This window comes from Homo sapiens, chromosome 2 (genome assembly GCF_000001405.40).
Source record: "Homo sapiens chromosome 2, GRCh38.p14 Primary Assembly".
Lineage (NCBI taxonomy): Eukaryota > Metazoa > Chordata > Mammalia > Primates > Hominidae > Homo > Homo sapiens.
In genome coordinates this window covers 33057989-33074054 of record NC_000002.12, presented here as the reverse complement: position 1 = coordinate 33074054, position 16066 = coordinate 33057989, and the positions used below count along the sequence as shown (strand labels likewise).

The following is a 16066-nucleotide window of genomic DNA, read 5'->3' as shown; positions in this document are numbered from 1 at the left end:
AGAATGCTACTACTTGGCCAACCAAAACTAATGGAAAAAGTGGCAAAATGACTTATACCTGTATATCACCTTACAATTTGCCAAGTAGTTTCACATCTCCTGCTTGAATACTGAACTCAGCAAAAATGGGAAACTCACAGTGGCTCACACCTGCAATCCCAGCACTTCGGGAGGCCGAGGCGGGTGGGTTACCTGAGGTCAGGAGTTTGAGACCAGCCTGGCCAACATGGTGAAACCCTGTCTCTACTAAAAATACAAAAATTAGCCGGGCATGGTGACAGGCACCTGTAATCCCAGCTACTCAGGAAGCTGAGGCACAAGAATTGCTTGAACCTGGGAGGCGGAGGTTACAGTTAGCTGAGATTGTGTCACTGCCCTCCAGGATAGGCAACAGAGCAAGATTCTGTCCAAAAAAAAAAGAAAGAAAGAAGAAAAACTGATGTTTCAGAGCAACTTTGGAGACTGAATAAAATTTAATTATTTCCAAACTTCAAAACCAGTTAAAAAGGGAAGAAGAAAGAAAAACTAAGAAAAATAAATGTATGATAGGTTTCTTCAAAAAGCGTTGCAGTTCTCATAATACCTTGACTTTGTTTGGCTCGAGATGAAAACTGTAAAAAGGGGTGATTTCCTATTTAAATACAATATTGAAAGTGCACACAAGATAAACTTCCTCTGGTCATTTCTGGATTATTATCAAAGCACAGAGTCCTTTATAGTCAAAGAAAAATCTGTTGATATGTACATGGTAAAATAAAAAAACAAAAACAAAAAAAACACTGTGACATCATTCTGTGATTACATACAAAAGAATGAGGAAAGGCTGGTAATTCAAACTTCCTTCATGGTAAAAAATGTCTACAATTCTTTCCTTCTAGCTCTCTGCACCTTCTCATCTCCTATTCACTCCTCAAACCATGCAATCAGGTTATACATCATTTTTCTACAACTACTGAACTGGCCAAGATTAAGATTAACAATGACCACGTGAATGCCAACCGAAACACCATGTTCAGTGGTCACGTTGCCCGGCTCTGTGGAGGGCAACACTACTGACTACTCCCCCCAGGGGTGTCATTGGTGCTAATCAAATATCTCCAGACTTCTACTCTCGGGACACATGACAGGAGTACATATCCTCGCCCCCTCTGAAGTGGTGGTAGACCATAAGACATAATTTGGCCAATGAAACGTGAATGGAAATAACATAGGCTGAAGTTTTAAGAGCTAATACATGCTTTTCCATAACTTTTTCCCTCTGCCATGGCAACCAGCAATGTTTCTGAGAGTACTTGCGTGATACTATGACATATATATTAATATACCGGTTTTCAACCATGGTTTCTGGCTCGTAACTCCCATAGTCCTTATCACCTCATGTTGGGGCACTTTTAGTCCTCAAAAAACAAATCTCTCTCTCACTGACCTTCTGCCTTCCTTTCACCTGCACTTTTTTCTCCCCAAGGAAGGCCTTAGAAACTAAAAACATACTCAGATATCCCCCTGCCTTTCTGTCCTGAAACTGACCGTGAACAAATGCGAGGACCTTCCTTGTCTGATTGCAGGTCCTAAGGCCCCTGTTTCAGGGGTGCTGCCCCAGACCCTGGAGGAAGGAATGCTGCACAGAGAGGCTGAGAATCTGGACAGGCCTTGGTAGGTTTCCCCACTCCATGCTTCAATCATGCCTATCCAATGAAGTCTCCATAAAAGGCCGAAGAGGACTGGGTTCAGAGAGCTTCAGATAGCTGAACATGTGGAGGTGCCTGGAGGGTGGTGCATCCCGGGAGGACATGGAAGATCTGCGCCCCTTCCCCTAAACCTCTCCCTAAGCACCTCTTCGTCTGTATCCTTTGCAATATCCTTTATAATAAACTGGTAAACCTGTGTTTCCATGAGTTCTGTGAGCCGCTCTAGCAAATTAGTCAAACCCAAACAGCAGATCATGGGAACCCCAACTTGACACTGGTTGGTCAGAAGTTCCAGAGGCTCAGACTTGCAACTGGTATCTGAAACGGGGGCAGTCTCGTGGGACTGAGCCCTGAACCTGTGGGATCCGATGCTGTCTCCAGGTAGACAGTGTCAGAATTCAATTAAAGGACATTCAGTTGGTGTGCACTGCAGAACTGACTGCTTGCTTGCTGGTGGGCAGAAATCCCCACACATCCGGTGTCAGATTTGCTTTGTGAGAGTATAGTGGGGGAAGCACAGTTGGAGTTTTTCCACATTCAAGCTGCTTTGTCAGCTTAGGTCCCACAGTGAAAATGACATAAAGAAGAATCCCCAGACGACCCGTGATGAACATGTCCCACGTGTGATGATATGGCACAAAGCCCAAAACAGCCTGTAACTACTATCTGCATGAGGAAGAAATAAATCTTTGTTATTTCAAGCCCCTCAGATTATGACTTGTTACGACATCATAACCTAGCCTATACTTGAATTCTATCCTCCTTCCATTAGCTTGTGGACCACACCCTTCTGATTCCCTGCTTCCCTTCCCCCTGTTCCTGCTCCAAAATCCATTCTGCAGCCACCTCCTAGATGCTGTGCAAGGCAGCCTCTAAGATGGCACCCAATGATCCCACTGCCTGGTAGTCCAGATTCTTGCAGAATCCTCTCCCCTAGAGTATAAGGCAGATCAAGGGACTCATTTCTAATGAATAAAATATGACAAACATGATGGGACATCACTTCTGAGATTGCGTTTACAAAAAGACTGTAGCTTCTACTTTGTCCACATTCTCATTCACTGTGAGGAAGGCAAGCTAGCTGTCCTATGGAGAGGCCCAGGTAGTGAGGTATGAATGAGGCCTTCCGCCAAAAGCCATGAGGAACCAAGACCTACCCAAAGCCACGTGAGTAAGCTTGGAAGTGGCCTGAACGACTCACTCTTTGTTCCCATTGCTTATCTAGTCAGGGACTGCACATAGTGGCCCTCAACCCTGGCCATAAAGAACTCTGGAAAAATCTTTACTCTGCAAGCTCCACCCAGACTTGCTGAACCCACTATGAGTGGCTGTGGCCAGATCATGTATGATTAAAGAATAAAAAGTCCACAGGTGTTTCTCATACATCTAGCAAGGGTGAGAACCACTGCTTTAGAGAATCACTCAGCCCAGCAATTGGATGATGAGGAAATGCCCAGAGAAATGAACTGACTGGGCCAAGATCTCATAGCCCGTGGCCAACGTGGAGTTTTGACCCTATTCCCCTGACTACTAAACAGGTGTTACTCCCCCACGCCACAGTGCCTTCTCTACTGGGGTCTCCTCTGAGCTCAACACTCTAAGAAAACATACAAGAAAGGCACAGCCCTGCCTTCAAGGAGCTGCCTGCACAGGATCTACAAATTAGAAGGAAAGAAGCCCGTTAGAACATGCCTCTCCCATAAGCTGTAAGCAGCAAAGAATGGAATAGGGGTTCCAGTTCTTGTAAATTAGGTGTGGCCCTTGGGCTTCTGGGAAGTTTCCAATGTGGGCTGGCAAGTCTAGGCATTCTCTTGGCACAAAATCACCGAACAGTAAAGAGGTATCCGCTTAGGTGAGTGACTGGGCAGACATTACTTAAGAAACTTAAAGGACTTCTTTAAGCAAATCCCAGCCACAGTTGAAGTGATGGCCTGTGGCCACCAGCCATGGCTAGCCACCCACCGCCTGACAGCAGCTCAGAGGTTTCGCCATCCCAGACGGGCATGCCGCCCCAGTTATTTTACCCTTCACTTAGGGCCACCGTCACCTTGCCATGGCCCTAAGCAAACTATCCTTGGCAAAGCAACAACGGCTCCAGATGGAGAAATGACACACTATTCCAACAAACTTTTCAAAGGAAAAACAAATAGATATTTCTGAGTTTGTTTTTTTGTGGGCAGCTGGAAAAGAAAATAAATCCACCAAATACCAACACCTCTCCAAAAAGTGTGTTGCCAGGACCATGATGACTGGTGTTAAGAATGAGAGTTTCCGGCAGAGAGAATGTGACACATCGCTGAGTCAAAGGCAGGCCCAGCCCTGGCTGAAAACCTTTGTCAGAACTGGGTTATGCTTTCACTGTAAGAAGTTTAAAAGGAGGGCAATGGTGAAGTCACATCCATGAGTCACTTTCCCACATGCTATGCTCACTTTTCAACAGGATCAACAGACCAAGTACCCACAGGGTCTCCCTCAGACTGTGAGCTGTTGAGAGCTCTTCGGGGAATACCGTCTTCCATTCTAAGTCATAAGCACTGTGCCCACCCACTCCCTATAAATAACCCAGAGAAATTAATATTGCACAAAATGGTGAAGACAGTAAGCATTTGTGGATGAAAATGGGGGAAAGGGAGAATGAAGAGGCAAAAATCAAAACTGCATGATGTTCATTCTTGTTCTCTTCAACTTTGTTTTGTGAGCAGATAACTGGTCTGGATGCAGATGTCTGTACTAGGAACCTGAGTCTATGAGGCTTGAGAATAATCTTGACTGACAACTTCCAGGCTGTGCTGCACACACACCAAGGGTTTCAAGGTCAGCAGGTAACATTGACCTGCCCTCTGTTCACCCCAGAGATGCCTTAGCAAACAGCAAAAACTCTGGGGCAGGCAGCTCAGACTTGCTTGTTGCCCTCCTAGGAGACAACACTACCTTCTAGATCAAAATGGATCATAAGTGGGAATGACAAGAATGGGTGCTTCATCTGCAGAAATTTGGGAACTGAGGGACTAGATATTCCCATGCACAGGAGGAAGAGGTGCAGACTAGAGGGAGAGGGTGTGGGTATGAATGGAGTGGGGCGGGGAGGGAGGCATCAGTGCACAGAGCCAGGGGCATCTTTCTCCCCAGTCCAGGCTCTCGGAAGTCTGGCTTTGAGTGGGGCCATCATCTCAGGGTACCAGGGATACCTAACAAGTACACAGAGAGGAATCAACAGTCATGTATTGTGCTCAACCCTCTCCCAGACAACTTAACACAATTTCAGAACAAGAGTAAACTTTAAGTAAGCTTAACTTCCGGAGCAAAATATCCTGAGCCCCAAACAAAATTTCCTTTACTGCTGTTGGTTTTTGAAACTGACATTTATTGAGGCACAAAAACATTCATTCTCTGATCTAAATGGTTAGAATAGTTAAACATTGATATGAATCAGGGGTTAGCAAACTTTTTCCATAAAGACCCATATAGTATATATTTTAGTTGTGGGCCAAAAGGCAATATTGAGGGTATCATAGAGGGTACTTAATGAGAGAAAACAATTTCACACACATTTTTCATTGACAAAATTCAAAACATAATATTAATAACAAAGTATAATTATTTGTATATAAGCCTCCTAATGTGAAGAATGATATTCTTTTGGTAGAGGGAGGACAATTTGCTTAATTGGGACTCAAAGTTAGTATTCCTTATCATCAAAATCAACTGCAAATATTATCAAAATAATAAAAAGATCAGTGGTTGCCAAGGATTAGGGGAGAAGGAAGAATGAATAGGTGGAGCATAGAGGATTTTTAGAGCAGTGAAAATACTCTGTAGGATGCTGTAATGGCAGATACATGCCATTATTCATTTTTCCAAACCCACAGAATGTACAACATCAAGAGTCAGCAATATAAACTATGGACTCTGGACGATGATGATGAGTCAATGCAGGTTCATCATTTATAACAAATTACCCCTCTGGTGTGGGAGTGGTAATAGATAATGGAAGAAGCTGTGCACATTTGGGGGCAGGGAGTATATGGACTATATATCTATTTCCCTTCATTTTGGCTGTGAATCTAAAAATTATCGAAAAATAATGTTTATTGTTTAAAAAAAAAAACTAAACATGCAACTACTACATGACTTAGTAACTGCACTCCTGGGCATTTATTCAAGAGAAATAAAAACATATGTTTACACCCTCCCCCCACCCCACAAAAAAAGAATCGCAAATGTTACTCTGCTAATGCTAATCTCTAATGAGATTTTACATATTTCATCTCTGAAAATGTCTTTTCACACACCTATTTGTGTATGGAAAAAATACTGTTATCCAGGAGCATATGATTTTATTTAAGCATATTCATTACTTGGATGGCATTTAAAAATTTTTATTATATTCTTCTGTTGATATCCTCCTTTTGGTATGTTGCTACATTTCAGATTCTTCACTTGCAATTAAAGTTAAGTGGAAGCTCTTCAACTGCACAGTTAAATAGATTTTGAATTATAGAAATTTCCTTTCTACTTGCATTGTGGTCCAAAAGCACTGCTGGTACAGCTGTCCCCTGGTATCCATGGGAGATTAGTTCCAGGACCTCCCTCAGATTCCAAAAACTGTGGATATTCCAGTCCCTAATATAAAATGTCATAGTATTTGCTTCTAATCTATGCATATCCTCTTGTATATTTTAAATAATCTCTAGATTACTCATAATACCTAATACAATGTAAATGCTATGTAAATAGTTGTTATACTGTATTGTTTAGAGAATAATGATCAAAAAGTGTCTGTGAATGTTCAGTACAGATGCCATTTGTTTCTCCCAGATATGTTTGATTCAAAGCTGGTTAAAAACAGATGCAGAACTCATGGATATGGAAGGTCAACAGTACTTAGTTGAGCTAAGAAAATGTATCTGCTACAACTGGTATGCAAACAGAGATCTCATTTCTTATTTTCACTTTTGACAGCATAAGAAGTGTATAAAGCATCTTAATATTACTAGTGATTAAAACAATGTTAGGTGGCATCTAAGTGACTTTACTTCAATATTAAGTTTCACATATAAGCACTGTTTTGCCTTATAGTTTTATGTTGAATTCATTATCAACTCTGCAGCTAAAGCTAATTTCCAAAGCCACTCAGTCTTCAATAGTAGCTAAAGTCAATTTATCCTGTTCAGAAAAAAATAAATCTTAGCCCTCAGACAGGGTCTCGTTCTGTAGCCCAGGGTGGAGGGCAGTGGCATGATCACAGCTCACTGCAGCCTGGACCTCCTGGGCTCAAGGAATCCTCCTGCCTCAGCCTCTAGAGTAGCTGGGACTACAGGCATGCCACCATGCCTGGCTTTTTTTAAATTGTTTTATTTTTTGTAGAAATGGGTTCTGTCTAGTTTGCCCAGGCTGGTCTCGAACTCCTGGACTCAGGCAATCCTCTCATCTCAGCCTCCCAAAGTGCTCAAGGCTTAGAAGAGTCTTAAACAATTTTGTTTTCTCTGAACACATTTCTTCAGCTGCTGCAATCAAGCATGATTTAATTAACTCACCATCAATAAATGGCTTTCCTGGCTTGGATAACAAAGGAGTCACTTGCAAATTTACCTTGTTTGCAGCTGAATGTTCTTTTTTGTGTAAAGAAATTCTGCTATAATGAAACATTTGATTTTAAATTTTCTAACTTTTCACCACAGCATTTCTGTGAGTTGAAAATATTGTGATAAGTGATTAGTCTGGTAATGTCAGCATACCGTATATTCTTTTAGCACAGTTACAGTCTCATTACATAATAAACACAATGCTTTGCCATCTAATTTAATAACAAAATAATCCATACTCCACTATGCCTTTTAAAGTATGACATTCAGAGTCTACTTTTCTACTCTTCTGACATCAAGGATTTACACTGATAAAAAATAAAAAAAAGTCACTGTAAGTTAATACACATGCCACTAAAAACACTGACAATTTCTAAGTTTAAAATAATTAAATGTGGTAACTATGATTTTTGGGGTGCCAAGCAGCAGTGAAAAGTGATCACAGAGCTACATGCAGTCTCCGTCACAACTCAACTCTGCCATTACAGGAAGAAAGCAGCTATAGACAACATATAAACAAGTGAGTATGGCTGTGATTCAATACAATTGTATGATGTTAGGGCCAAAAACCATATAGAAAAAATTAACAGATAAGACTACATAAAATTTAAAATCTTCTGCATAGCAAATACATATAAACAGAATAAAAGAAAAATAGGGAAAATATTGATTATAGGTTGGTATATAGACAGATATCAGAAAGTTCATAGTATTATATAAAGAGTTCAACAAGAAAAAGATACATGATCTAATAGAAAACTGGCCGGAAAATAGGAGGAAAAAAATGCAAACAGCCATAAACTACTACTATTTAACCTCACTGTTATTTAAAACAGGTTATTTTCATCTGTCAGACCGATAAAAAGAACGACACAGAGTGAAAGTGAAAATATAAATAATCCTATATCTAGCGAAGTGAATTTTTTCAAAAACTTTCTCATAAATAAAAGACCAAGACCATATGTTCACCAGTTAATTCTAACAAATATTTAAGAAAGATAGAAAACCCATCTTATAAAAACTCTTCAAAGTATACAGGAAGAAGAAACACCTCCCAACCTGTTTTTGGAGGCCATCATAACCATGATACCAAACCCTCACAGACCAATATTCCTCATCAACATATATGGAAAAATTCTTTAAAAAGGGTCCACAAATCGAATTCATAATATAGAAAAAGGCTAATACACCCTGACAAAGTGGGATTTTTTTTTTTCCTGTAGAGAAACAGGGTGACAAGGTCTTACTCTGTCACCCAGGATGTAGAGCAGTGACATGATCATCACTGTAACCTCAAACTCCTGAGCTCAAGTAATCCTCCGACATCTGCCTCCTGAGTAGCTTGGGCTACAGGCGTGCACCACCACACCCAGCTAATATTTTTATTTTTTGTAGAGATGGAGTCTCATTGTGTTACCCAGGATGGTCTCAAACTAATGGCCTCAAGTGATCTTCCTGCCTCAGCCTTCCAAAGCTGGGATTACAGGTATAACCACCATGCCTCACCTCAAGTGGAATTTATCCTAGTAATGCAAGGTTGGTTTAACATTTAAAACTTAATTGATTTAACTAACCATACTGACAGAATAAAGGAATAAAAAATAATCGTATTTTTATTGATGATCACACTACATACAGAAAATGCATCTGGCAAATACAACAAGCCTTCATGATAAAAGGAAACACTCAGCAAATGAGTAATATAAGATAATTTCCTCATTTTAGACCCCGTTTCTACAATGATTATTTTGTTAATGTATTATACTGATTGGTAAAATAACATACTTTCACCCTAAAACCTAGAACAAAAGGCAAAGATGACCACTGTCACCACTCCTGTTCTACATTACACTAGCAGTCCTGGCTAGTAAAATATAGCAAAAGGGGAGAAGCATAAATACTGGAAAGACACAATACTAACTGTATTTGACATGACATGACTAAGAAGAAAATCCCAACAATACAAGTTGGGAAAAAATTACCCATGTGCCTTCTGTGTTTCTGCATATCTTTATCAGCTTTTCTTCTGGCCTGTCTTTTCAAGAATGTTTATATAGTACACAGTCTTGGAAAACAGATAGTATCTCCTTCTGTGGCAAAGGAAAGATTTGTTTGCTATCCAGGGAAATGAAAATAACATCTCCATCTGGCACAAAGATTAGGCAAAGTTGGCTAGCAGCCCCTTTTAAAGAATGGTATTTCCTAAGCTCAGGGTTCCTCAACTGCGACACAAACCTACTACACGAGTAACATCGACCTGGGCTACTCTGCATTACCCCATGAAGCTTAGGGAGTGTGGAGACCCAATCTGAACATGAAGCTCATGCTGCCTGCTATGCCATGAGTAATAAAGTTCTTTATCTCTTACCCAGGATTCTCCTGTCTTCTGTCAGCATCCATGAAACTGTGGGAGGCTAACTTTTTAGCCTGCAAGCAAGATAAAATCTCAAACCTTTCACAGTTCTTGACAATATGAGTTTGAGGTTACCAGACTAATGTGTGAATTTTGAAATTTTGGAGGCTGCAAGGTCACTAAATATAAATTAAATGTATTTCTATATATTAGCAGAAAACTCAATTTAAAGTTATATTACATTTATGTAAGTGTAAACAATATACAATACTTAGAGGCTGGGTGCAGTGGCTCACGCCTGTAATCCTAGCACTTTGGGAGGCCAAGGCGGGTAAATCATGAGGTCAGGAGTTTGAGACCAGCCTGGCCCAACATGGTGAAACCCCGTCTCAACTAAAATTACAAAAATTAGCCAGGCATGGTGGCGGGTGCCTGTAGTCTCAGCTACTCAGGAGGCTGAGGCAGGAGAGTCACTTGAACCTGGGAGGCAGAGGTTGCAGTGAGCCAAGGTCATGCCATTGCACTCTAGCCTGAGCGACAGAGCGAGACTCCATCTCAAAAAGAAAAAAAAAAAAGAATATACAATACTTAGAAATATATTTAACAAAACATCTTCAGAAATCTCTATACTGAAAACTATAAAACATATATAAATGTAGAGATATACCATATTCATGGATTGAAAAAATAAATATTGTTAAGGCATCAATTGTCCCAAAATTGAGCTATGGCAGCAGTTTTCAAACCCTTCATTCTCAGGACTCCTTGAAACTCTCAAAAACAACTGAGGATCCCAAAAAACTTTTAATATTTATGTAGTTTATAGCTATCAAAATTTACCAGAGAAGGAATTTAAAATTAAAAAATGTTAAAATATTAATTCATTTAAAATTAACAAGCCCATTAAATGTTAAAATAATTTTTCTTTTTCCTAAAATAAAATGTATTAAGCTTTGCATTGTTTTACACTTTTGCAAATACCATTAATGTTTACCATAAAAGAAGAGAGCCTGATTGCCTATCTGCTTCTGCATTCAATCTGCTGCAAGATCACACATTATGTATTCTCTGGAAAACTCCACTGTACTCCTGAGACAATGAGTGTGAAAGCAAATAATGTCTAAGTATTATTATGAAAATAGTTTTCACCAGGTGTTCCAGATTCAAGACAATGCAAATTGTAATCACATCAGACTTAAAAAAAAAAAGAAACTGACAAACTAATTCTATAATTCGAACAGCAATATGAAGAGCCTACAAATGTCAAAAAGTGGTTTTGAAAATGCAGAACAAAATTGAGGGCTTACACAACTTGATTTGAAGACTTACTTTTGAAGCTACAGTACTCAAGACAGTGTGGGACAGGAGTCCCCCCTTATCTGTGGTTTGCTTTCTGCTGTTTCAGTTACCCATGGTTTCAGTCTCATAACATTAAATGGACATAAACAATTCAGAAGTTTAAAATTCCAGAATTAAACAATTCATAAGTTTTAAATTCCAGAAGTAAAGAATTCATGATTTAAATTCTGAGTAGTGTGAAATCTGTCCTGCTGTGTCCCACCTGGGACATGACTCACACCTTCTTCCAGCATATCCACACTGCACATACTACCCACACATTCGTCACTTAGTAGCTATCTTGGTTATCAGATACGAAAATCATAGCATAGAGGGTTTTGTACTATCCACAGTTTCAGGCATCCATTGGGGGTCTTGGAACATATCCTCTCATGGATAAAGAGGCGATTACTGTACTAGCATAAGGATCAACAACAGATCAACAGAATAGCTGGAAACTCCCAAATAGACTCACATATATATGGTCAACTGATTTTTTGATAAAAGGTGCCAAAGCATTCCAACGGAGAAAAGAAACTCTTTTCAACAAATGATCCTGAACAACTAGATATCAGTATAAAGAAAAAAAATGAAGCATCCTGGATTCTCACCTTACACTACACTCAAGTGAACTCAAAGTTAATCCTAGACCTAAACACAGAAGCTAAAACAACAAAGCTCTAGAAGAAATCATAGGAAAATATCTTTATAATTTGAGAGTAGGCAAAGATTTATTGAGCGACACACAGAAATCAATAATCATACAAAATCAGACCTCAACAAAATTAAAAACTGCTCACCAAAAGACACTGTTAAGAAAACTAACACAGTAAGAGGAAAAAAATGCTGTGTGTGTGTGTGTGTATGAGACAGAGAGATAAAAGATTGATATCCAGGATATATACTAATAAAAAATTCCAACTCATTAAGAAAAAAAAGCTGATTAATAAATGAGCAATATATTCAATAGACATTTCACAAAGGGGAATATACAGATGGTTAATATGTACATTAAAAGCTATTCGATATCATTAGTCATCAGGGAAATGCAAATTAAAAACATAATGAGATACCACTATACACTCAGAAGAATGATTAACATGAAGAAGACTGACAATTCTATACTGTAAGCCCAGATGTGGTGCAACCAGAACTTTCATCCACTCCTAATAGAAAGATAAAATGATAAACCGCTTTGGAAAAAACATCTGAGAGTTTCTTATAAAGCTAACCACATACCTACCTTATACACAGAAATTCTACTCCTAGGTACTTACCCAACAGAATTGAAAGCATATGTCCACAGGAAAACTCACAAGAATGATCATGGCAGCTTTATTTATAATAGCCCCAAACTAGAAACAACCCAGGTGTTCATCAACAGATGACTGGACAAACAAATTGCCATATATTTATACAATGGAATACTACCTAACAATAAAAAGGAATGAACTGCTTATTCACGCGACAGTATTAACACATTCCACAAATAGTATGGTAAGTAAAAAGCCTTCTACAAAAGGGTACACATTGTATAATCTCACATGAAGTTTCTAGAATAGTGAAAAGTATGGTGAAAAAAATCAGAAGAGTGGTTGTCTCTGGGGTAGGACTGAGAAAACTGATGAGATAACTTAGATACTGGCCAAGTCCTCTACCTTGATAGAGTTTTGGATTACATAAGTACACATTTCTCAAAATTCAAAGGGTGCATGTAAGATTTGTACATTTCAGTACACTGTAAATTTTACCTTAAAAATAACACTATAAGCAAATACTGACCTCTAGTTAATGACATGCATGACAAAGTGTTTATAGGTAAACATATACTCATGATGTGTGCATCTTAGTCTGAAAGGCATTAAGAAAATAGGGTGTATTAATGGATGGACCAGTATCATCCATCCATCTTGTAATATGTAAGATTTTTAAAACCCACCATATTTGGTTAGAAAAAAGAAGTCTTTCCTAAATATAGACTGAATTATCTTCCATAAATACTTCAATTGCCTTATCCATAATCATCCCTCAAAGTTAAAGGAATGTGTCCTACCAACTCCAGTTTCTACAATTCAGTACCAGGCAAAACATCCTTGTTATTGGTCTATGATCTGATATAAGCAAATACATGGTTACAATTAGTTTTCAGTTTTGATTCATATAATTGTTTGCAAGAGCTATTTCAGAAAAAAAAAGTAATATAATTTTTAATTTTTGAAAAGGCTGCCAAACAAGAAAATTTCAATCACTATAACATGAGTTTTTTAAAAACATAAACCTTGTACTATTTTTTGTTTGAAAACCAGTGGCCCTTCTGATCCCCTCATTTTTCTTTGAATAAGAAAATAATTCATGCTCTGGTCACTTTGCTATTAAAGACCACAGTTAGCCATGACAAATGCATTTCTTTACACACACACACACACACACACACACACAGATCTGAATTTAAAATTCAGTACAACGAACGGTATTAAAAGTTCCCTCCCTGCCTCCCTCCATATCTCACCTACCCACATATATCATACACACACATCCCCCCCAAACACACACACACATACATACACACACACCCCCCAAGATGATTTCAGCACAGCCCAAATTAAGATACAAACCTAAATGGCAAAATAATACTTTGGGCTTAAATTGTCCTCCATAATAATCAAAAGCCACATGTTACTAAAATCAAAAGAAACTTACCTTGAATGCAAATACCCCTAGAGATACGTCAATTATCTGTGTGTATTCTAGGACTCCAGTGAGTTTTTTAAAAATAGGGGGAAATTAAAAGGAAAAGGATCCATAACACAACTGTCATTTAGCCTCTCCACATTTATTTCCTCTCAACCCACTTCTAACACAATTTTGGAATCCTAAACTCTCATCCCAGCCTGCAACAGAGTAAGCTAACTTAAATAATCCCTGGTTTTAGCACTTGAACAGTAGAAGGGTAAAATATGTGGGAGTGAAATGGAGTCTACAGTTTAAAAATAGGTCCATGTGCACAGTCCAAGGTCAGCCTCCAAGAGACAAGCTATGAAAAAAATCTTTGACATTGCCCGAACCAACAACATGTAGAAGAACTTGGATTTCTTATTCCAAACTTCTCTTAGCTATTTTCTTTAAGAACTGAGTAAAAGGCCAGTCTTCTTGCCAGAGGTCTAGAAATAGCTTGTCTTCCTATTTGCCATAGATGTATCTAAAGTCTAGAAGGCATTTCTCTGTTGTTTTAGGGATGTGTCTGGTTTTTTTCTCAGACATTCATGCCATTTCTCTTTGTCAGCTGAAAAGCTTTTATGCTCAAAATTTCACTTCAGAGTTAGTTTGAAAAGTCTACTATAACTATTTCATGGAAAAAAGTCTCCCTCTTGCAAAGTCATCTTATGGTTCCCTTAAATGACATGTATTTGGTATTTGAACATGTATGTATCTGTAACTGAATCTGACCCCCTGTATTTCCACCTCTTCAGGCCCAGACTTCTTAAACACAAGCCTCTCAAATCCAAAGGCTAACACTGAGAGCGTCTGGCTCCATTGTTTTAATCCTATAGAGGTTCTCTGTTTTTTATCCAAATTTTTCAGCTCAGCCCTTCCACTGGGCACCACGGACATGGCAAGCCTAAACCAAAAAAGGAGTCTCTTTTAAGGTGTTTGAAATTAGATCCCTAGGCTTGCTTGAAGTTTCCATGTTCGTTCTTTTGATTTATGGGTCTCATTACTGGGGAAGGCTGAAATATCTCTTCTTTTTCTCCCTTAGTGGCTTCAAAGCACTGTACGCTTGACTACCCAAGTACATTAAAACTAATTTAAATCATCATCATAAGCACTAATGTGTTCAACAAACCAGAAAAGACCTTGGAATCCAAAATATATGGTCACATTTTATACTTAATAGGACACAAAATAGCAAATCCATCAACAAAGTGGTATAGCTTTTTATGGGCACAGGCAAAAAACACTTCTTAAATGTTGCATTGCCTAGTGCTGCCTTTTAAAGGTGAAATTCACATCATCCTTTTCCTTCTGCTCCTGTAAGACAAACTTAATTTAATGAAGATCACTTGTAAGGATAACTTCAAGCGGCAGTAAATGTGTATGGCTGTGAAAATAACAAGATAAATGCCCACATTTGCATAAACCCGAGCTAAAATTATAAGACAGCATCACACATTTTCCAACCTCTCCCGCAGCACTGCCATTTCAACACGTGCAGGTCATATTCAGCACTTCTGTAGCTTAAATGGCAATGTTTTTTCTCCTGCGACATTTATAGTAAGGTACCATTCTCAAAAGAAGAGTAAACACATTGAATTAGTACCAGTGAAACAGAATTTCTGGAATCAAACGTATAATCAAAAAACTTGAGAGAAATTGCTGATCTGTGCTGAAAGCTGTATCAAAATATGAAATTCACTAAAGTATTTTTTAACATGCCATTGATAGCAGCTATCAATTTAAAACACAAATGTAAGATAATACACAAAATTTATCTTGATCTTCTTGCATATTTATCATTATAAATTGGTGATTCCATATCTGGAAAATACTTCAGAATATTAATTCTTGAAAAGAAGGGGGGAGAAAAAGGGAAAACAGGAAGACCCAACTCTTTGATTCAGTGGAAGGTACTACGTTTAGACGTTATTAGATGAGTTTTGGTCCTGGCTTCGATTAGGCAAATCACTTAAACATTGGAAGCTTTAGCTTCTCATCTGTAAAACAAAGGAGGTGGGGTGGTAGACTTCTAATTTTCTTTTAGCCTCTAAGAACCTATAGTCAATGGTCTTTTGCAAAATTAGTTGAAATAATAATGTAATTAATAATTGAATTTTAATGCTAACATAATTCTATTACTCAATGTTTATTACTTTTATAAATATTAATGAATTTCTATATACTTCATCATAGCTATTATTAGTCTACAAGAGTTTTAGAAAGACCATGAAATGCTTCTCATTAACTGTTAAATGGCCCGCAATGAATTGAGAAGTCCCAGTTTATCCCAGGCCAAAGTAATTGGAAACCAAAGAGAGAAACACTCCTAGGTTTCTTACTTTTATGATGAGGTAGAGCACAGAGGATTTTTAAGACAGTGATATTGA

General features: G+C 38.4%; 1 protein-coding gene across 38 annotated transcripts in view, besides 3 other annotated features; it reads right to left on the bottom strand.

Annotated features, from left to right (window-relative positions):
- The window catches only part of LTBP1 (latent transforming growth factor beta binding protein 1), a 452557-nt gene that overhangs the window by 325455 nt on the left and 111036 nt on the right, over positions 1–16066 (bottom strand). The gene's annotated exons all lie outside the window — the stretch shown is intronic.
- Positions 3216–4415: an enhancer, noted in NCBI's record as "P300/CBP strongly-dependent group 1 enhancer chr2:33294707-33295906 (GRCh37/hg19 assembly coordinates)". NCBI's record gives its function as "activates an origin of replication core promoter dependent on BRD2, BRD4, P300/CBP, MED14 and CDK7 cofactors, with strong dependence on P300/CBP, by STARR-seq in HCT116 cells {active_cell/tissue: HCT116}" and the evidence as "EXISTENCE:reporter gene assay evidence [ECO:0000049][PMID:35650434]".
- Positions 3979–4273: a silencer, noted in NCBI's record as "tiled region #11675; K562 Repressive non-DNase unmatched - State 5:Enh". NCBI's record gives its function as "represses a minimal TATA promoter and a strong SV40 promoter by Sharpr-MPRA in K562 cells {active_cell/tissue: K562}" and the evidence as "EXISTENCE:reporter gene assay evidence [ECO:0000049][PMID:27701403]".
- Positions 9299–9593: a silencer, noted in NCBI's record as "tiled region #6273; HepG2 Repressive non-DNase unmatched - State 23:Low". NCBI's record gives its function as "represses a minimal TATA promoter and a strong SV40 promoter by Sharpr-MPRA in HepG2 cells {active_cell/tissue: HepG2}" and the evidence as "EXISTENCE:reporter gene assay evidence [ECO:0000049][PMID:27701403]".